The sequence below is a fragment of the Homo sapiens genome, chromosome 9, assembly GCF_000001405.40.
Source record: "Homo sapiens chromosome 9, GRCh38.p14 Primary Assembly".
Taxonomy (NCBI): Eukaryota; Metazoa; Chordata; class Mammalia; order Primates; family Hominidae; genus Homo; species Homo sapiens.
In genome coordinates, this window is record NC_000009.12 from 107,294,506 (window position 1) to 107,315,083 (window position 20,578).

Sequence of the window (20,578 nt, forward strand, 5' to 3'; positions counted from 1 at the left end):
GGTGGGCCATATCCTTTCCAAGAGAAACCTTGTGCTGAGTTCATACCTCTTCCTTTGAAGCATCCAGAAAGAAGGCAGTCTTTCTTGCTAATCTGTTTTGAAGTATGCTCAATTAGGTTGGATTAGGGATGATTTAAACAAAGTAATTTAGACACAGTTCTTCTACAGATACATTATGGTTTAAATACCTCTAGGACATCCCGTGAAGGTGTTCAGTAGAGAGTTAAGTGTGCATAAATGAAGGTCAGGGAGAGAGAGCTGGGCTAGAAATACAGATGACATCTGCATGGTTATTGAAACTAGGAGTAGACACGATGGATTATCCTGGAAGTCTAAGTAGCACTTAAAGGGCTGGCCAGGGAGGAGGATTTCGTGAAGCAGTGAATGGAGAGATAGGAAAACCAAAAGTGTGGCATCCTGGAAGCCAAGAGATGGCAGTATGTAAAGGAGGGACAGGTCAGTACTGTCACACGTGACAAGAGGAAGATAGGAGAGGATTAAGAAGTGTGGTATCATTATGGTGTTGCAGAATTCAGTGATGTTGGTAAAGAGCAGTGTTAATGGAATGGCCAGCGGTGGGTGGGGGGGGACTACCAGAGAAAATAAGCAGCAGAATGAGAATAAATTTCATGTTTTTGTTTATCAGCACAGTATTGCTCTCTTTTGAGTAGTTGGTTTGGGATTATGAATAAGTGAGGACAGTGGTGTGTATTTAAGTTTTTGAAGAATTAGATTGTGGGGGGAGAGAGTCTAGGAGGAGACGTGATTGTTAAGTGTTTGTTTTTAAAATGATGAAGTATTAGGTCTAAGTGTGAATGAAAGTGAACTGAGTGAGAGAGAGGCTGAAAAAGCTGGGGGAGATAGGAAATATAATGAATTTAGTAAGATACTGAAAAATACTTGGAGGCGAACCAGAGGACAGGTGGAAATAATTAGGTTTGAAAGAAAGGGATACTTTTTTCATTTAATAGGTGAGAAGGAGATGTAGGTGGGTCTGGATGCAACAAAGTTAGACAAAGATGAAAATAAGTTCCTCTGTCTTCTGTTTTTAATAAGGTAGAAAGTGGTCACCTGCAGACAGTACGAGAGGATGCTGTGAATCAGATTTAGAGTAGAATGCAGATTTGAGATATTCTTTTGGAGGATGGAGAAGAGGGCTAACTAGGGGGAACAGAAGATTTAGTGTATCCTTTTCTCCACTAGCATTTAGAAAACGGTATAAATGTAGATAGGCAGTCTCTTAGGTAAAAGTTGAGATTTGTTAGCTAAGCAAGGTTAGGACAATGAGACACCACAGAGTGGTTGGAGTAAATTTTAGAGGTTGAGTACTGACAAATAAATGGTGTTGGTCCAAATACAGAATTTTGTGTGTTAGGAGCAGCAGAAAGACAAGGAAGTTTTTGATATTAGAAAGAAGGTGATAGGAGCAATGATAGTGAAGATTGAAATGAAAGTAGAGACTCTAGGGACCAAGTCTTAAGGAGATTCAAGAGCAAGTATAGTGAACAGTTAACTAAGAGCTGGTAGGAACAGGAGATTGGTCACTTATAATTTTAAACATGGAGTGGTTTTTAGATGACAAAATTCAGCCTGTAGGGTTCTGTAAGTATAGATTGGATTGTAAGTAAAGATCACTGTTTTGTTCAAGGTAAGGAACAATGCCAGAATTTTAGACAGGTCAGTGCACCTGGTTCCAAAGTCTGGTTCAGTTATTTTCTTTGAAGTGATACTGTTGGGTCAAATCCCCGTGCCTTCCCCCACCACCTTAAAAATGTTGAAGCATCTTGGCATGTTGCCCTCAAAAATTTTGATCATTTGATACTTTAATTCTTATTCTGAGAATGTATTTCTTCACTTTCAATGCCAAGAATTATTCAAAACAATCTTTCCAGTGTGATAGTCTATTGGATTAATAACATGAGGCATCAAAATTTATGTCTTTGGTTACTAATGAGGTTGAGCTTTTCTGTGCTGTGACTGTGTAATTGTGAATTGCCTGCCCAATCATTTGTCCAATTTTTTTATTAGTGCAAAAACAGTTTTGTGCCTTGTCTCTCTCTCTTTTTTTTTTTCTTTTTCTTGAGACAGTCTCATTCTGTCACCCAGGCTAGAGTGCAGTGGCATGATCTTGACTCACTGCAGCCTCAGCCTCCCGAGTAGCTGGGATTACAGGCGTGCACCACCATGCCCAGTTAATTTTTGTATTTTTAGTAGAGATGGAGTTTTGCCATGTTGACCAGGCTGGCCTTGAGCTCCTGGCCTCAAATGATCCGCCCACTTCGGCCTTCCAGGGTGTTGGGATTACAGGCGTGAGCCATGGCACCCAGCTGCCTTTTCTCTTTTTTTAATTGCTTTTTTTTTTTTTTTTGAGATGCAGTATTGCTCTGTCGCCAGGCTGGAGTGCAGTGGCACAATTTCGGCTCACTGCAACCTCCAGCTCCCTGGTTCATTTGGTTCCCCTGCCTCAGCCTCCCGAGTAGCTGGGACTACAAGTGTGCACCACCATGCCCGGCTAATTTTTTTATTTCAGTAGAGACGGGGTTTCACCATGTTGGCCAGGATGATCGTGATCTCTTAACCTTGTGATCTGCCCGCCTTGGCCTCCCAAAGTGCTGGGATTACAGGCATGAGCCACTGCGCCTGGCCTCTTAATTTCTTTTTTTTTTAATTTTTATTTGTCCTTTTTTTCTGTTTGAGTTGCATGTTTAGCCTGTTAATTTTTCTTCTTTATTGAATAAACATTTTTAGTGTTTAGTCTACAATTACTTCTTTAGCCAAATCATATAGGTATCTTGTGTTGAGCTCCCATTGTTATGTTCTTAATATTCTGTGTTTGTTTTGTTTTGTTTTTGAGACAGAATCTTGCTCTTGTCATCCAGGCTGGAGTGCAATGGTATGATCTTGGCTCACTGCAACCTCTGCCTCCTGGGATTCAAGCAGTTCTCCTGCCTCAGCCTCCGAAGTAGCTGGGATTACAGGTGCCAGCCACCATGCCCGGCTAATTTTTGTATTTTTAGTAGAGATGGGGTTTCACCATGTTGGCCAGGCTGGTCTCGAATCCAACCTTAGGTGATCCGTCTGCCTTGGCCTCCCAAAGTATGGGATTACAGGCGTGAACCACTGTGCCCAGCCTTAATATTTTTTAATCAATTTTGATTTCTTTGAAGCAAAAGTTATTTAGTAGTAAATTACTAAAGGGCCTTTTTTTTTTTTTTGGTCCAGCTTTTCTTAATTTATGGGGCTTTTTTTTCCTTTGGTCCTCCCTCATTTTTGATATAAAGCTAGAGAGTCCCGTTACTTATTTAAGCGTTTTGAAATATGAAATATTTAAGTCTGTCTTATACTTCATTGTAACCTGTCAAGAATGAGATATTCCTGCATGTTTATTTTCTTTTATTTGTTGCTTCATATGTGTCTTTTTTTCTTCACATATGTCTATGCTCTGTTCATTTATTCATCCAGCACAGGATAATGGAGCACCCACTCCATGCCAAGCCACTATGTATTGTTCTGAGAACTGGGTTTATGCATAGAGATACACTTGGTCTGTAATTTATTTGTAGTTTTCCTAAATAATCACACTTGCAAATATTGTATCCTTTTGTCCCTCTACAAACAAAGTTTGAGAAGAAATTTACCATACACCACTGAGTGCTCCACCCATGCTCTGCCATCAGTTGGTTGACTTGGCAAGTCTCTTAGCATGTAGGATAGCAGTCTTCAAATGACTTGGTTTCAAGACTTGTTTACATTTAAATAAGTTATTGAGGGCTCCAAAATAACTTTTGTCGATATGCTTACGTTTTATTTTATTTATTTATTTTTTAAGGCAGATTCTCACTCTGTCACCCAGGCTGGAGTGCAGTGGTATGATCTTGGCCCACTGCAACCTCCACTTTTCAAATGATTCTTGTACCTCGTCCTCCCAAGTAGCTGGGATTACAGGCATTTACCGCCATGCTTGGCTAATTTTTTTTTTTTTTTTTTTTTTTTTTTTGCATTTTTAGTAGAGACAGGGTTTTACCATGTTAGCCAGGCTGACCTCGAACTCCTGGCCTCAGGTGATCCTCCCACTGCAGCCTCCCAAAGTGCTGGGATTACAGGCATCAGCCACTGCGCCTGACCCAATGTACTTACATTTATTAATGTTTACCACATTAGAAATTAAAACAAACTTTATTAATGTTCATTTAAAAATAAATATAAACTTATTATAATAAATATTATACTTACTTTTTTTGCAAAAAATAACTATCTGCCAAAACAACAGTAACACCAAAGCACTGAAAAGACTGACACTGTTTTACTTTTTTTTTTGCAAATCTGATGTTTGGCTTTAAAAAAATTTTACTTGTGTTTTACCTTTGAAATGGGGAACAGTGGAAAATAGTGGATTGAGATTTTTGTGATGGATTTCTACTTTGGGGAACATCAGAATAGCAGTGATGCTACTGACCCATTTCAGGAAGATCAGTGCAGCAAGGAAGGTTTATATGGTATTTGCAAAATACTCTGCTTGGAGTCATAAGGGGTGGTAACCTCTTTATTTCCGTCTCCTCATCTATAAAATTGAGTGGGTGACATTTCCTTTTGTCCCAGAGTTTTGAGGATTGTGTGAAATTGTATGTTAACATCTGAAGCTAAATAAGCTTTTTTTATCTTTGAAGTACACACCATCACTTTTTAATTGTACAAAAGAAACCTTTATTTGTATCCCTTTCTGTCTAAAACTCAAGAGAACTGTCAACTTAGATAATTTTCAAGAAGTATTGAATTTTTCTCCTTGGTTTTTGTGCCTTTAAAGTAATGAAAGTAGTTCTATAAAGGCAAATGGGAAAGCCATCTCTGCCTTTTTTACTCCTGTACCTCCCTACTTAACAAGTTAAGAAGTTCATTAGACTCATTTTTGTAAATACTGTATAATGAGCCTAATTGTCACACAATTTTAGGAAATGAAGAGACTATAAAGGTCATGGATTCCAGCTCCTCTTACAGATGAATGAAGCTGATGCTGAGAGAAGCTAAGCTGCTTGTTTAAGAGCATTGAAGTTGTCTGGAGGTTTTCAGCCTGGGCTGAACTTTGGAAACACCTGTAAAACTTTTTAAAAATACTGATGTCAAGGTCCCACTCTCAGAGATTATGTTTTAATTGGTGTTTGTAAAGTCCCCCTGGTGATTGTAATGAAACATAACACTTAAAATGAATCATTTGCCTTTTAACATTCACAATTTAACCTTTAACATTGAAGTATTCTTATTGTTGATGAGACTGTTTTATTTCTTAGATTTTTTAGGTGATCAAGCTTTACTTTCTTGCTCCGTGGGAAATAAACCCATGAACAGTATATAAACCAAAACTTTGATGTTGAAAACTTTATTTTAAATTATCAGTTCAACTAGTAAATTTTTAAAAATCTGTGTGTATCAGATGGTGTTAAAGTTTATGGCTATCATAACTAGTAATATGAGTTAATGTTGAATCTTTTTTGATATAAATTGGAAAAACATAATATTTGAGGTTTTGGAAACATTAATAATTATGTATATAATTTTTGTCTTCCATTATTTATTCAGATTCTGGATTGTCATTTTTTATTTAGACTTTTTCCAAAACAAATCTTTATTTTTCCTATAGGTGAAAGCACTGAAAGAGAAGATTGAATCTGAAAAGGGGAAAGATGCCTTTCCAGTAGCAGGTCAAAAATTAATTTATGCAGGTATGAATTAAATATTAAAATTAACATGCCATGTCTTGATATTCTTTTAGTTTTAGAAATGTTATCTTATATATTGTAGTATATTCAAATTGTCAGAAAAATGATTGTACAAATAAAAGCAGTGAAAGAGCAGTCATTTGAATCTAATATTAATATTCAATCTTCTCTTTATTCACATTTGCCCTGTGTATTTTTCCATCAAATGGTATTAGTTTTGTTTTATCTTTTGTAAGCATCGTGTAACTGGCTTTTGTTTTTTTAATCAAACGGAGCTTTTTTTTTTAAATTGAATTGAAACCATTTATACTGATTGTGTTATTATTAGTATGCTTGGAATCATTCCTGTAAAATTATTTTAACCAAAACTAACTGAAGAGTACAGAAAAAACACATCACACAGACACCTACAGGAAGAAAAAAAATTAATATTCAGATTATGTAAAGAATTCTTAGAAATCAGTAAGGAAAGGATGACCAATAAAGCAACAAAGGATAAGAGTAGGAATTATACATTTGACTAGCCTCACTAATAACCAGGAAAATGTATATTAAAAATACATTTGATATCCAAATTTTTAGAGAAAATGCTTTCATTGTAGATGTTAGTAAGGTGGGTGTTTGATCACCCATGGATTCTTCTCTTTTTCTGAATAGTGTTTCCTAAAGTGAGACAGCCTGGAGGAAATGCTAACCTGGTGATTCAGTCCCATTATTTTTATAGGTCAGAATTCAGAAGCCTAAAGAAGCGGACATAAAATTCAAATTTCCAGTTTCTTGTTTTGGCCTGTTTTCTCATTCCTATCCATATTCCTTTCTGACTTAATGTTAGCAGCTTTTGATTCAATAGCTTTTTAAAGGTGGAAAACTAAATTCATGTAGCAAGAAACACTAGAGAGTCCTAGCTACCTAATAGTGACCTTCAGCACGACCACAGTTTTGTGTACTTCGTGCATTTCTAAGTTCTGTAGCATCTTGCCCTTTCTTGTGTATCATGTCGTTTTCTGAAGTACTTTTAGTATCTTGCTTTGATAGTGTTAGAACATTTCTGATTTATCAGATATCAGTATTTTGGGGAGCAGGAAATTTGTTTCTCTCCCTTTCTTCATATCATAAAAGAATATAGGTTATTTTCCAGAGGACCCCTGTGCAATCGGAGTATTGAATTTTCTTTATCTTCATGATCTCCTCCTTTTCAGGGCCTCTTTCATATTTCCTTGCCCAGTAAGTCTTTTATATAATCAATACATTTGTAAAAATTGATTGTCATTCTATATACACTATATAAGTTTGACATCTTTTAGTCAAATGCTTATGCTTTTTAGTTTTATTTGTTTGAGAGAGGGTCTTGCTCTGTCACCCAAGCTGGAGTGCAGTGGTGTGATTATACTCGCTGTATCCTTGAACTCCTGAGCTCAGGTGATCCTCCTGCCTCAGCCTCCCAAGTAGCTAGGACCATAGGCATGTGCCACAATGCCTGGCTAATTTTGAATTTTTTTTTTTCATAAACAGGGTCTTGCTATGTTGGCCATGCTGGTTTCAAACTCCTGGCCTCAAGCTATATTTCCTCCTCAGCCTACCAAAGTGTTGGGATTACAGGTGTGAGCCACCATGCCCTGCCACTTAGGAGTTGTTTTATTTTTATCTTGATTGATTGGTTTTTCTTTGGGAAAAGTATTAACTGATAGAATTTATGTTGGTGATTCATATTTTAATATTTCTGAAATATTCATATTTCGAGTAGAAAGTTGTTTTAACTGAAGTGTAAGAGAAAGATTATGCCTTAAATGATTTTTTTTTCTCTTAATGTATTAGGCAAAATCCTCAATGATGATACTGCTCTCAAAGAATATAAAATTGATGAGAAAAACTTTGTGGTGGTTATGGTGACCAAAGTAAGTTTCAACCTCATTCTGTATATCTTTATGCATGTAGGTCTTTTTAAAAATGATGATCACAAGTCCACACAATGGACACAGTTTATACACATCCATAGTGGTGTACACTTAACTACTATGAAAGGTTTTTAAGAATTTACCTTAAGTGAAACATAAAGTTATTAATGTTTTACATTAATTACACATTAAACTATAATATAGTTTTAATAAAATTTTATGTAAATTAAAACAATTGAAAAATAAAATGTCATGTTAAAATTATTTTTGCTACAGTAGTGAAATCATTATATAATTCTTTTAAAATGTCTTTATAAGTGGAATAAATGTTTATTCTGTAGTTTTTGTAAGCTTGCCTTAAATAGACCTGCTAAATTACGTACTAGTCCTAACAGATTCCTCAAGACAGAAAAGGCATGAAAGCTTATTATTACAGTGATAGTTCTTAGTGAAAGAATATGTTTTTAGAAACTAAAAAAAGGGAAAAGATAACTAAAGAAATGATGGAATGATTTTTATGAGGAAGTTTTTTTTGTTTTTGTTTTGTTTTTTTTTTTTTGAGACGGAGTCTCGCTCTGTTGCCCAGGCTGGAGCGCAGTGACGCTGTCTTGGCTCACTACAAGCTCTGTCTCCCGGGTTCATGCCATTCTCCTGCCTCAGCCTCCCTAGTAGCTGGGACTACAGGCGCATGCCACCACGCCCGGCTAATTTTTTTGTATTTTTAGTAGAGACAGGGTTTCACCGTGTTAGCCAGGATGGTCTCGATTTCCTGACCTCGTGATCCGCCCGCCTCGGCCTCCCAAAGTGCTGGGATTACAGGCGTGAGCCACCGCGCCCAGCCTGGAAGTTTTAAACAGATACTTTTTTGTGATTTAGTAGGCTGGAATGTATTTGGAACAATTTATAAAATTAAATTTTTTTTAAAGCAGAGAATGAACATGGATTTTTTTAAGAGACTATTTATATACTTGTTTATTTAAAGATATATAATGCAGTGTAGAATTAAGAGACAAATGGAGAAGTGGTACTCATGACATTCATTTTTAGGATTGGATTGTCATAATCTGAGAAAGAACAGTGTTACTTGTAGCACTGAAAATGAGTTTAAATCACTAATTGAAACCACTTCATCAAAGGCCAAAAGTGGATTAAATGTGGGTTTTTTCTCAAAGTCACAAAATAGTTAATAGTAATAGAAAATAGAGTCGAAGAAATAAATTCTAATTACCACATGCTTTTGTACTGGGAGCAAGCAGCTAAATAGTTTACAAGTGTTGAACATTTTTTAATTCATTAAGAACCATGTTGATTTTGCTATACTTAAGAACTTAAGTCATTATATGTTAAGTTTAAAAACAAGCAGAATCGTGAGGAAACCTTGTATCATCTAGGTTTTTTTATTCAACTGTGGTAAAATATAACAAACTTCCAGTTTAATCATTTTAAGTGTACAGTTCAATAACATTATAGTTACATTGTTTTGCAGCTATCACCATCATATAAGTGGAATCCTATGGTATTTGTCTTTTTGTGACTGGCTTATTTCACTTAGCATAATGTCATTGAGGTTCATCTGTCTATGTTATAGCTTGTGCCAGAATTTGCTGAACTTTTAAGACTGAATACTATCCTATTTTCCTATCTAGTTTTAGCATACATAGTACATAATGGGAAATGTGATAGCCACACATTTAAATATGTTTTGTTACTGGTCTTAGTTTCTTTTAATATTACAGTGATCCTGACTGTTTAGAACACAAGAATTAAGCAGAAAAAGTCTCAATAGGTGCGTGTGTTTGAGGAATAGATACTTGAAGCCTATCATTATATTGCATACAGTCCTTTTGTTTTTCCTTAAAGTCTTTTATTCCTAATATTACATAGGATTCTAATGATATTTATGATTGTTTTATTTGAAGTTAATAGAGGACAACTATGAAAAGGGAGGGAATGCTGCTACAGTAAGGCATTATGGAAGCACTGAGAAATGACCTTATTAATACAAAGAAGGGAAAGGAAAAAGCTATTAAGATCAAAAGCAAGAATAAAAACTAAAAAGCAGAGAAGGGCTTGGTACTGTTTAGAATAAAGTATAAGTAGCTGTTCTTGGCAGTAGGAACCTTGAAGGGAAGTTACATTGCAATATTATTTTGATAACAATTAAGGAAAATATTAAATGAGTATACCACTTTTAAAAATACATTTTTATCTAGATTGGTTATTATAAAGTTTTGGTGCTTAAGACTCTAAATTTTCACCTTTGTGAAGCTCCAGTTTATCCAGAATAACTGAAGATCCAGAATGATCTCAGGATTTCAGCTCATTTTAGTTTTAGAACAGTAATAATCTGCAGAATATTATATTGGCTGTTAAGAAAGTTAAGCTAAATAGGAAAAGAAGGGAGTAATGCTACTAGTATTTTTTAAAAACCTATCACCTTTCACTAACCTTTTTCCTAGTGTCTTCTTTATTAGTTCAAATCAAAAAGACAAGGCAGCTCATTGGTTTTAGAGTTTGTTTATGCCTGTGGCAAATTATGTTGAATTTAAGCCTTGTCTTCCACTAAAACAGCTACCTTTTGTCCTTGGGAAAGTTATGAACTAAACAGGTAGCGAGCATTGAGAGGCCTTAGGAGAAGACTAAAAATCATGTATGATTTTTACACATGTACAGTTGACCCTTGAACACCACTGAGCTTAGGAGTGCTGGCCTCTCCCCTACAGTCAGAAATCTGCATATACCTTTTGACTTGCCCAAAACTTACCTACTAATAGCCTACTCTTGACCAGAAGCCTTACTGATAACGTAAACAGTGGATTAATACATGTTTTATATGTTACATGTATGATATACTGTATTAAAGTAAGCTAGAGAAACTATTAAGAAAATCATGGCCAGGTGTGGTGGCTGATGCCTGTAATCCCATCGCCTTGGGAGGCCAAGGTGGGCGGATCGCTTGAGCTCAGGTGTTGGAGACCTGTCTGGGTAACATGGCGAAACCTTGTCTCTACAAAAAAAAAAAATACAAAAATTTAGCAGGGAGTGGTAGTGTGAGCCCGTAGTCCCAGCTACCTGGTGTTGGGGGCGGGGGCAGTGGCTGAGGCAGGAGCCTTGGGAGGTTGAGGCTGCAGTGAGCTGTGATCATACCACTGCACTCCAGTCTGGGCGATAGAGTGAGAACCTCTCTCAAAAAGAAACAAAAGAAAATCACGAGAGAGAATATTTTTAGTGTTCATTAAGTGTAAGTGGATCATCATAAAGGTCTTCATCCTTGTCTTCACACTGAATAGGCTGAGAAAGAGAAAGGGTTGGTATTGCGGTCTCAAGGTGGCAGAGATGGAGGAGGTAGAAGGAGAGGCAGGCACACTCAGTGTAACTTATATTGAAAAAAATTATCATGTAAGTGGACCCAGTGCAGTTCAAACCCTTGTTGTTCAAGGGTCAACTAATTGTTTTTTTGCTCTGTGGGAAGCTTTATGGCTCTATTTCCAGTTCAGAAAGTGCTGAGCGTGTGGAGGTAACTTAATTTGGCCTTTATTTTTCTGCTTAATTACATATATGTCTGAAAGTATTGTGAACCTTTTTGTACTTGGATCTGTTGATTTGTAGTCAATTTTGGGATTTTCCTCCCTCTTCTAAAAATACAGTACAACAGAATATTTGACATGTTTATAAATAAACATTTATACTGCCATTTCAAGAACATTATTTTGGGCTGGATGTAGTAGTTTATGCCTGTAATCCTAGCGCTTTGGGAGCCCGTGGTGGGAGGATTGCTTCAGGCCCGGAGTTCAAGACCAGCCTGGGCAAGGTAGCAAGACCCTGTCTTTAAAATTAAAGAAAATTATTTTATTAATGCTTTTAAGTGGTATTAGGTACCTTAAAGTTACAACTTAGGTACATAAAGTTTTTTTGGGAAAATGATACGGTTTATATCTATATATATATATATATATATCTATATATCTATATATATTTCAAATTTTTTATTTTATATTAACTTGATATGAAGATGGAAATTGTTGGGTAAAATTAATTGTGGTTGATAGTTAAGATTAACATACGCTGTCATGAGCTTTGAAAGAGTAACCATGAGTCAGATTGTTAATATTGATCATTTATTGTGTCATTTTACAAAATTATTTTCAAGTTATAGGTTGTTATTAGTGCTATGTTTGTGGCATCCTGTAACGGTACAGTCTAATTAGAGATCAGGCAGTATGTAGTATTTTATTGTAATTATTTTGTCTTTTAATGTGTTTAGCCCAAAGCAGTGTCCACACCAGCACCAGCTACAACTCAGCAGTCAGCTCCTGCCAGCACTACAGCAGTTACTTCCTCCACCACCACAACTGTGGCTCAGGCTCCAACCCCTGTCCCTGCCTTGGCCCCCACTTCCACACCTGCATCCATCACTCCAGCATCAGCGACAGCATCTTCTGAACCTGCACCTGCTAGTGCAGCTAAACAAGAGAAGCCTGCAGAAAAGCCAGCAGAGACACCAGTGGCTACTAGCCCAACAGCAACTGACAGGTAGGAACTGGATTCTAGGACATTCTATCTCAAAATCCGTGTTTAACAGGAACTTCATGCATTTATTTTGATTATTGTTTTGATCAAACCGACTATATCTATTACGTTAAGCTTTTTTTAAATGTTTGACTAAAACATATGCTGCGTCTGTTTTGATAGCTTACTAAGGAGAATATAAGTACAAATTTTCATAATCAGATTTCTGTACTCTGTTGATTTGGGCAGGGTGGGGGGCAGTGGAAAGGAGAAAGCAGGTGAAAGTCATTTTTTTTTTTTTGAGTAGAAACGTTAGGAAATACAAATAACCAAAATGAATAAGGATTACATCATGACATTGCCACCCTGATCATCATTTGTACTTGATCTGTATTCTTTGTGGTCATTGTCATATATATCATAAGCATCCTTCCATGTTAGTAAATCTTTCCCGTAGTTATATAGCATTGTGTTTGGTTCTGACATTTGTTAGCTCTTGTAACCTGAACCTATGGACTATTTCAGTTTTTCACTGTTGTATCTGTATCTTTGTGAACTTGTGAGAAATTCAGGCTTCTGCCTGTGTGGATCTTTAGGGGAAAAAAAAGGAAAAGAGTGTTGAGATATTTGAGGAGCAAGAAATAATTTCTTGTGGGAAGTTGACAGCAGAGACACCTCAACTAAGTGGCTGCTTAGGCAGTTAGGATTATTGAGCAGTTTAAGACAAGACTTTTGTTTTTCTCCCCAGACGATCAGGTAAAATGACCAAAGCAAATGCTTAAGTCAGAGTTCTCTTGGTTGGAAATCATACAGCACAATTCCTTGATCTAAGAGCATGAGTTATATTATGACCAGCCTTCACTGGCACTACAGCTGTTTGTATTTTGTGACTTAGTGCAACTCAGGACCTCAGAGGCAGTAGTTATATGATCTTTGGAGTCAGAATCAGACACAGTGGAAAACTATGCAGTGACTGGAAGGGTTTACAGACATGGAAAGGGGTTAAGATATATATGACAATGATCAGAAAGATATAGTTGTGATCCTTCATTTTAGTGTTCTGCCTTTGAGTGTGGTTTCTGTGTCTGACTTAGTCAACCATGTTTGGAGGAGTCTGAGCCACCTGGTTCATTGCTTACTTGGGGGTCTCTTTCTAAATAATTGATTCCCTAAGAAGACAACATGGGTTTAGGCAATAGAATATTTGCCCTGTTACTTGCCTAGAACACTGCTTTAAGCATTCTATGACACCATTGCCTAACTTGATCCATCTTTCCCATGTACAACTAGAAATGCATTCAACCATCTTATCCTAGTGGATACCACCTAGAGTCAGGTTAAGCTGTTACATCAAAGGGCTGTTGATCAGGTCTGTATATGAGAGGGAACTTACGCATTTAAAAAATTGGTTTACTAAAGCACTTAAATATTACAAACTTAATATGTCTTAAGTCAGCACAATACATCTTATTCTCTTAATTGCTTTAAGCTCCTTTTTAAAAAAAAAAAGCTTACAGTGTGAGAATTTTAGAGTTGATCAATACATTTTAATGTGCTAATGCCATCAATTTAAATTTCTTTCTTCATTAACTCCATTTTTTTTTTTTTTTTTGGAGACAGAGTCTTGCTCTGCCACCCAGGCAGGAGTGCAGTGGCGTGACCTCGGCTCACTACAACCTCCACCTCCCGGGTTCAAGCGATTCTCCTGTCTCAGCCTCCTGAGTAGCTGGGATTACAGGCGCATGGCACCATGCCCAGCTTATTTTTGTATTTTTAGTAGAGAAGGGGTTTCACCATGTTAGCCAGGCTGGTCTCGAACTCCTGACCTCAGGTGATCTGCCCACCTCGGCCTCCCAAAGTGCTGGGATTATAGGCATGAGCCACCATGCCCAGCCCATTAACTCTAGTTTTATTTTCTTCCTGGAGTTGCAGTTTTACTTACCTATTCTAAAAAGAGCCAGGGTTATCTTTTCAGACCTTTTCAGACCTACAGAAGTTGCATAAGTAACTTGATGGTCAGTGATCCAGGAAAGCAGACACTAGAGTTTGTTACTTAGTTGGACTTTGTACACCAACTGCTTACTCTTATTTCTCAAAATTTTACCTCAGAAATACAACACAGGAAGAGAGGAATGAGGGAAACTCAGAAAACAAGCTGCTTAAATGTGTCTTAGTTCCTTTGTCTTTGCTGGAAAATATCTAGTGTCTTGTGAAGCACAAAACCTAGTGAATAATTATCAGGAGATAAGCTGTTAAGACTTTGTGGAGTGACTTTGTGGGAAGTCTGTTTAGGACCACTGACCTGACGTTTTGTTATTAGGGATTTGTTTCTTTAGGTCAATTTTGTTCTTTTAAAAATTGTCTGTTACAGTGCAAATTCCACTTGATATCTACCTGAGAGAAACTGCACTTGTGCACATGACTGTATTGTTTGTAGTAAAGGACAAATTGGAATCCTAAATTGACCTGTGGTTTATTCGTAGTAGAGAACAGGACTACTCAAAGTGTGGTAGTCAATAGGCTGCATCAGCATCACTGGGAGTGTGTTTGACATGAATTCTTGGGCCACCCTGGACCTGTAAATCAGAATTATCTGGGAGTGGATCCCAGAAATCAACAAGCCCTCCTGGTGAATACTTGGGATTCTCGGACTTTGTAAAATTTGAGAAACCCTGATAGCTGATACTACAAGACAGTTAAAGTATGTAATGTATAAGCATGTTAAATGAGTGTGGTTTTGAGGCTTTGTTATTGAGTGAAAAAAGCAGGTTGCAGAAGAGTATAGGCAATAACCATAAACCAGACAAAACCCATAAACAACATTGTTCATTTTCTGTGGGTATGCATGTTAATGTGTAGAAGAAAAGAAGGCAAGCGTTGACATATAACTAATGAGTGGTTTCCTCTGTGGTTGGAGAGGGGAGAAGTAGTGAGACAGAATCAAGATTAAAGAATAATGGTTAAAGTCTATGTACATCCAGTCTTATCTGTGGTGTTTAAAGAGAACTTTTTAAAAACAATGTGTGGGCCGGGCGTGGTGGCTCACGCCTGTAATCCCAGCACTTTGGGAGGCAGAGGCAGGCGGATCACAAGGTCAGGAGATTGAGACCATCCTGGCTAACACAGTGAAACCCCGTCTCTACTAAAAATACAAAAAATTAGCTGGGCGTGGTGGCGGGCGCCTGTAGTCCCAGGTACTCAGGAGGCTGAGGCAGGAGAATGGCGTGAACCCGGGAGGTGGAGCTTGCAGTGAGCCGAGATTGCGCCGCTGCACTCCAGCCTGGGCGACAGAGTGAGACTCCATCTCAAAAAAAAAAAAAAAAAAAACCAATGTGTGATAATAGTGTAAATTATTCTAAGGGAGATGTGTCTTACCGGATTTTAAAATGTATTATACAGTAATGATTAAAACAGTTTGGAATGGCTCATATTAGAAAGATTGGTCAGCGAAATCAACAATAGCTTTGAAATAGACCCAGATAGATACAGGAACTTAATATAAAGGTACAGTTTCAGAACAATGTGGGGAAAATGCTATTGAGATCTCACCATCTAGAATGAAAAAAGAATGACCCCTCATACTGTACACCTGCAAAAATAAATTATAGATGGATACGGATTTAATGTAAAAGCAAAGCCATAAGCTAATGGAGAACAAGGAAACAAAAGAATAGTCTTCACTGTGAGAAGTCATTCTTAAGCAAGACAACCAAAAAAAAAATTATAACAGGAAAGATTGATGAATTTGACTATAGAAAGAATTTAAATGCAGGAAACCAAACTACACATTGCTTAATAAGAGCTTGATTTGGTCTTTTAAATGGAATACTGTGCACATTTGGGAAGAAATTGAAGTAGATTTGATTGTGCCGACATAGAATGATTGTTAAGTTAAAAAAACACCAAAGCAAGACACAAGTTGTTATTCTTTTAAATAGAAATTGGTGTCATAGTGGTTGTCTCTGGGTTAGGGGTAGGAAAAATTTAGTTTTTATGTATTGTGCGTTTTGAAATTTTATTTTCTCTGCATTAGTTTTACAGTATATTTAATGAAGAACTTAAATTATACCAAGGGATTATATTAATCATAGTATTCTTATTGGGTGTTACGATGCCAGACACTTTGCTAAGCACTGTACTAGTGTAGCCCTACCCACAACACTTTGGAGTATATGATACGGTCGTTGACATTGTACTGATGAAGAAACAGGCTTAGAAAGGTTAAGTAATTTATGCATCCAAACTTGAGTTTTCTGCTCTTATTATGTACTACCAAGGGCTTTCTCAGAACTGAAATATAATGTGTGTGTTGTTTTTAATTGAGATACAGGTCTAAGTGTGTATGTGTGTCTGCTTTAATTTAAACTTCTAACTACTACCTTTACCACTGTTGTAAACTTAAGTTTATATTTCTTTGGCTTGCTCTTGGTCTTTCATAATTTTCTGTCTTTTATTGCAGACTTCTCTGTAGTTTCCCAACAGAAACTTAATCTCTTTAAACTGATTTTCATTACATTCAAACTTGGATTTAACCCATATCTACCTTTTTTGCATATGCTATATTTCTTTATTTGAATATCTTCTTTCAGTGTCCTCATTCAGAACTTACCTATAAGACTTCATTATGTAAAGACTTTATAGCCTAATTTGGTTTCTCCATGTGCTATTTTGTATACTGCTTTTGATATTTCTTCTGGTGTGACTTGATTTATAAATTATTTAACTTCTCATGTAAATTATTTCAGGTAAATAATTGTGCATTATCTTTTTTGTATTCAATAGATAGCTGTTAGGATATTATTTTATATATTTTGATATTTAAAGTGATGGAGTCTCAGAATAGAAGGAGTACCAAGATTGAAAATTTTTCCCAAACCACAAATGTTGTAGATAAAGCTTTTGGATTTAATCTAGAAGAGACAGTTTAAATACTGTAGTCAGACTTTTATATTTAATTAAAATCAAAGAATCTGTTTACCAATTGGATAGTTACTAAACTAATGTAAATTAAATTTTATATACTTTTTAAAATGTGATTTTTCTAAAATCCTTTTGTAGTACATCGGGTGATTCTTCTCGGTCAAACCTTTTTGAAGATGCAACGAGTGCACTTGGTAAGTATCTGCTTTTCCTTATAAATAACCTATAAAGAGATAGGAAAGAGGTTTCACTTTTCTAGATCATGATAAAAGTGTTAATAATTTGCATGGTTGTTTATAATCAAGCTGTAAGATGATTGATTTAGGTAATTATTCAATTAATAGTGTTACTAAAGACTTTTAATGTTTATGTATTGAGTTCTTTAAAACTTGCTCTGAGTTGAGCCTACTTGGTTAAAGCAAATAAATTTCCATTTTCCGGATGTGAATTTTAAATGTGATCCTAACATGGTTGATCTGTGTATGGATTTATTACAAAGGGTCTTTGAAATGGGTATGAAATTTTTCTAAGATCTGCCTCACACTTCATGTGTATTCACCATTAGACTTAATTCAACTTGATGGCACTATACATTCCCATCTACATCTTGTTGCTTGCATTGGCTTGCAGCAAAAATGCCTTTTTATCCCAACTTTTAATTTTACCTACTGAATAATGCCTTTCCATCTCCCATCACCCCAATCTGTCAAAATGAAGCAGCATTTTTTTTCTCCCATTGTAGCATCTCTGATACAGTTCCTGCTAATTACTGGTTTATTGGCTGGCAACTCCATTCCTAGTTTGTTACTTTTAAATGGCAGGGAGGGAGAAAGCGAGGAATAGGTAGAAACAGCAGCTTTGGTGCAGTACAGGCTTCTGGATTCCTGCTTAGCTTCTACAGCAGCAGGGTTCCAGCAGCAGTACCACCTCCTAGCATCTGAGTTGGTTCTCTGAGCTAGTTGGACTGGAACTCCGTGATGCCCTTGTTGCTGTGGAAAATGGCATGTACATTTAGTGGCAAAACGGCAGTTTAAATTATCTAAGATCGCCTGGGTGTGACAACCCCAGATTTTCATCTTTGAGGAGCAGTGTCCTAAAACCACTCTGCTATCAAATACAGTGTGAGTTAGTCTCTAGCCAGGAAAACAGAAACCACTCTATTTCAAAGAGGGAAAGGCTTAATCTTAGGAAATTGTTAGGAATTGGAAGGGCTGGAAAATAGGATTACCCAGAGAGGCAGTAAACTGTCTGTGGCCTCGGCTCCAGCTGGAGCCAGCTAGCACTTGCCCCTGATGGTGTTGAAGGCTCTGGCTGTGGTCACTGCTGCTGCAGCTGGAATGCATTGATGCTCCTGAGTTCCCGGGAGCCTGGGAGGCCATGCTGTAGCTGCTGCTACTCAAGCCTCTGTGACGATGTCTTCCCATTCTCAGCTTTATGGTCTCGGGATCCCTCTACATTTTCATCTTTAATTTACCCAAGTCTCTATGTTGATTCCCTGCTTTTTTATTTTATTTTATTTTTCTGATTTATCTTGTTGCTGTACAAATTAACCTTGCTTCTTTAAACTTTCCTTCTTTGGCTGCTGTGACACCACTCTTTTCCTGATCCATACCTCAGGCTCTTCCTTCTCAAGCTTTCTAGTTAATTCTTTTCTTTTTTCCTTTATTTTCTTTTCTCTTTTCTTTCTTCCTTTCCTTTTCCTTTCGTAGTCTCACTCTGTCGCCCAGGCTGGAGTGCAGTGGCATGATCTCAGCTCACTGCAACCTCCACCTCCCAGGTTTAAGCGATTCTCCCGCCTCAGCCTCCTGAGTAGCTGGGATTACAGGCACGTGCCACCACGCCCGACTAATTTTGTGTATTTTTAGTAGAGATGGGGTTTCACCCTGCTAGCCAGGATGGTCTCAATCTCCTGACCTTGTGATCTGCCCGCCTCGGCCTCCAAAGTGCTGGGGTTACAGGCGTGAACCACAGTGCCCGGCCAGTTAATTCGTTTTATTTTACCTGACTATTAAATGTATGAGTTTTCTATGGTTCCATTCTAGGTCATAGTTCAAAGTTTAAATTATGGGAATGACCAATACCATCCATATACTATATAGATTCCCCAAATTACAGCTGCAGTACAGATCTCCCTCTGAACTCCCAAACTCGTATCTTCACATTGTCAACTAGAAAACTTTAGAACCTCCATGACTTCAGGTTTCAAACTGACTCATTTTTTATTCCCCAGTCTGATTCTTTTCTTGTTCACTTCTTACTTGTACCATCATTCATTCATCCACCCTCTGCCTCTTTTGGCCCAGTAAGTCTGTTTCTTTTCTTTTCCTTTCTCCTCTCTCCTCTGTCCTCTCTCCTTTCTCCTTTCCTTTCTCCTTCCTTCCTCCTTCCTTCCTTTCTCCTTCCTTCCTCCTTCCCTTTCTTCCCCTCATTCCACAGTTACTAATGACTCTGTTTCTTAAAGTCTCTGGAATATTTGTTTTCACTGTCATTTAGTTGCCTTAGTTCAGGTCCTTATTTCACTTGTACTCTTGCATTATCCTTATCCACCTGGTCTGCCTCTTCCTTACCAGAGTGGAAAGCAACTCTCATGGGGTCTTTGTTAATTCTTTTAATAGTTCCTCATGACCTGGAAGATAAGTCCAAAGCTTATTCTTTTTAATTTTTAAAATTTGTATATAGGGAGTACAAGTGCAGATTTCTTACATGCATATATTATGTGGTGGTGAAGTTTGGGCTTTTAGTGTAGCCATCACCTGAATAATGAACATTGTACCAAACAGGAAGTTTTTGAACCCACACTCCACTCCCCACCTTTTTTGTAGTTTCCAGTGTCTGTTATTCCACTCTATATGATGTGTGCCTATTGTTCAGCTCCCACTTGTGAGGACATGGGGTATTTGACTGTTACTGAGTTATTTCATTTAGGATAGTGGCCTCTGTAGTTCTATCCATGTTGCTGTAAAAAAGACATGGTTTTATTCTTTTTGATGGGTGAGTATTATTACACACACACACCACATTTTCTTTATCTCATCCTCCATTGATGATTCCATATCTTTACTATTGTGAATAATGTTGTGATTAACATACAAGTGCAGGTATCTTTTTGATATAATGATTTATTTCCCTTTGGGTATATATACATAGTAGTGGGATTTCTGGATTAAATGATAGTTCTGTTTTTAAGTTCTTTCAGAAATTTCCGTACTGTTTTCCATAAAGGATGTACTAATGGACATTTCCGCCAGCAGTGTATAAGCATTCTATTTTCTCCACATCCTTGCCCAACATCTGGTATAAGATGGGGCATCTCATTGTGGTTTTAATTTGCATTTCTCTGATGATTGGTGATGTTGAGCATTTTTTCATGTTTGTTGGCCACTTGTCTGTCTTCTTTTGAAGAATGTTTTTTGCCAGTCATGTTTTTTGCCCACTTTTTAATGGGGTTATTTGTTTTTTTCTTGATGTTTTAAAGTTCTGGATAATAGCACTTTGTTAGATTGCCTAAGCCAGTGTCCAGAAGAGTTTTTCTAGGTTTTC

At 37.0% G+C, this 20,578-nt stretch overlaps 1 protein-coding gene across 3 annotated transcripts in view; it reads left to right on the forward strand.

Annotated features, from left to right (window-relative positions):
• The window catches only part of RAD23B (RAD23 nucleotide excision repair protein B), a 48,916-nt gene that overhangs the window by 11,227 nt on the left and 17,111 nt on the right, over positions 1-20,578 (forward strand). For all 3 annotated transcript variants that reach the window (NM_002874.5, NM_001244724.2, NM_001244713.1), the window contains exons 2-5: positions 5,636-5,717; positions 7,530-7,609; positions 11,874-12,142; positions 17,177-17,232. In NM_002874.5, coding sequence (NP_002865.1) covers positions 5,636-5,717; positions 7,530-7,609; positions 11,874-12,142; positions 17,177-17,232 — 487 coding nt within the window. The remainder of the gene's footprint in view (positions 1-5,635; positions 5,718-7,529; positions 7,610-11,873; positions 12,143-17,176; positions 17,233-20,578) is intronic.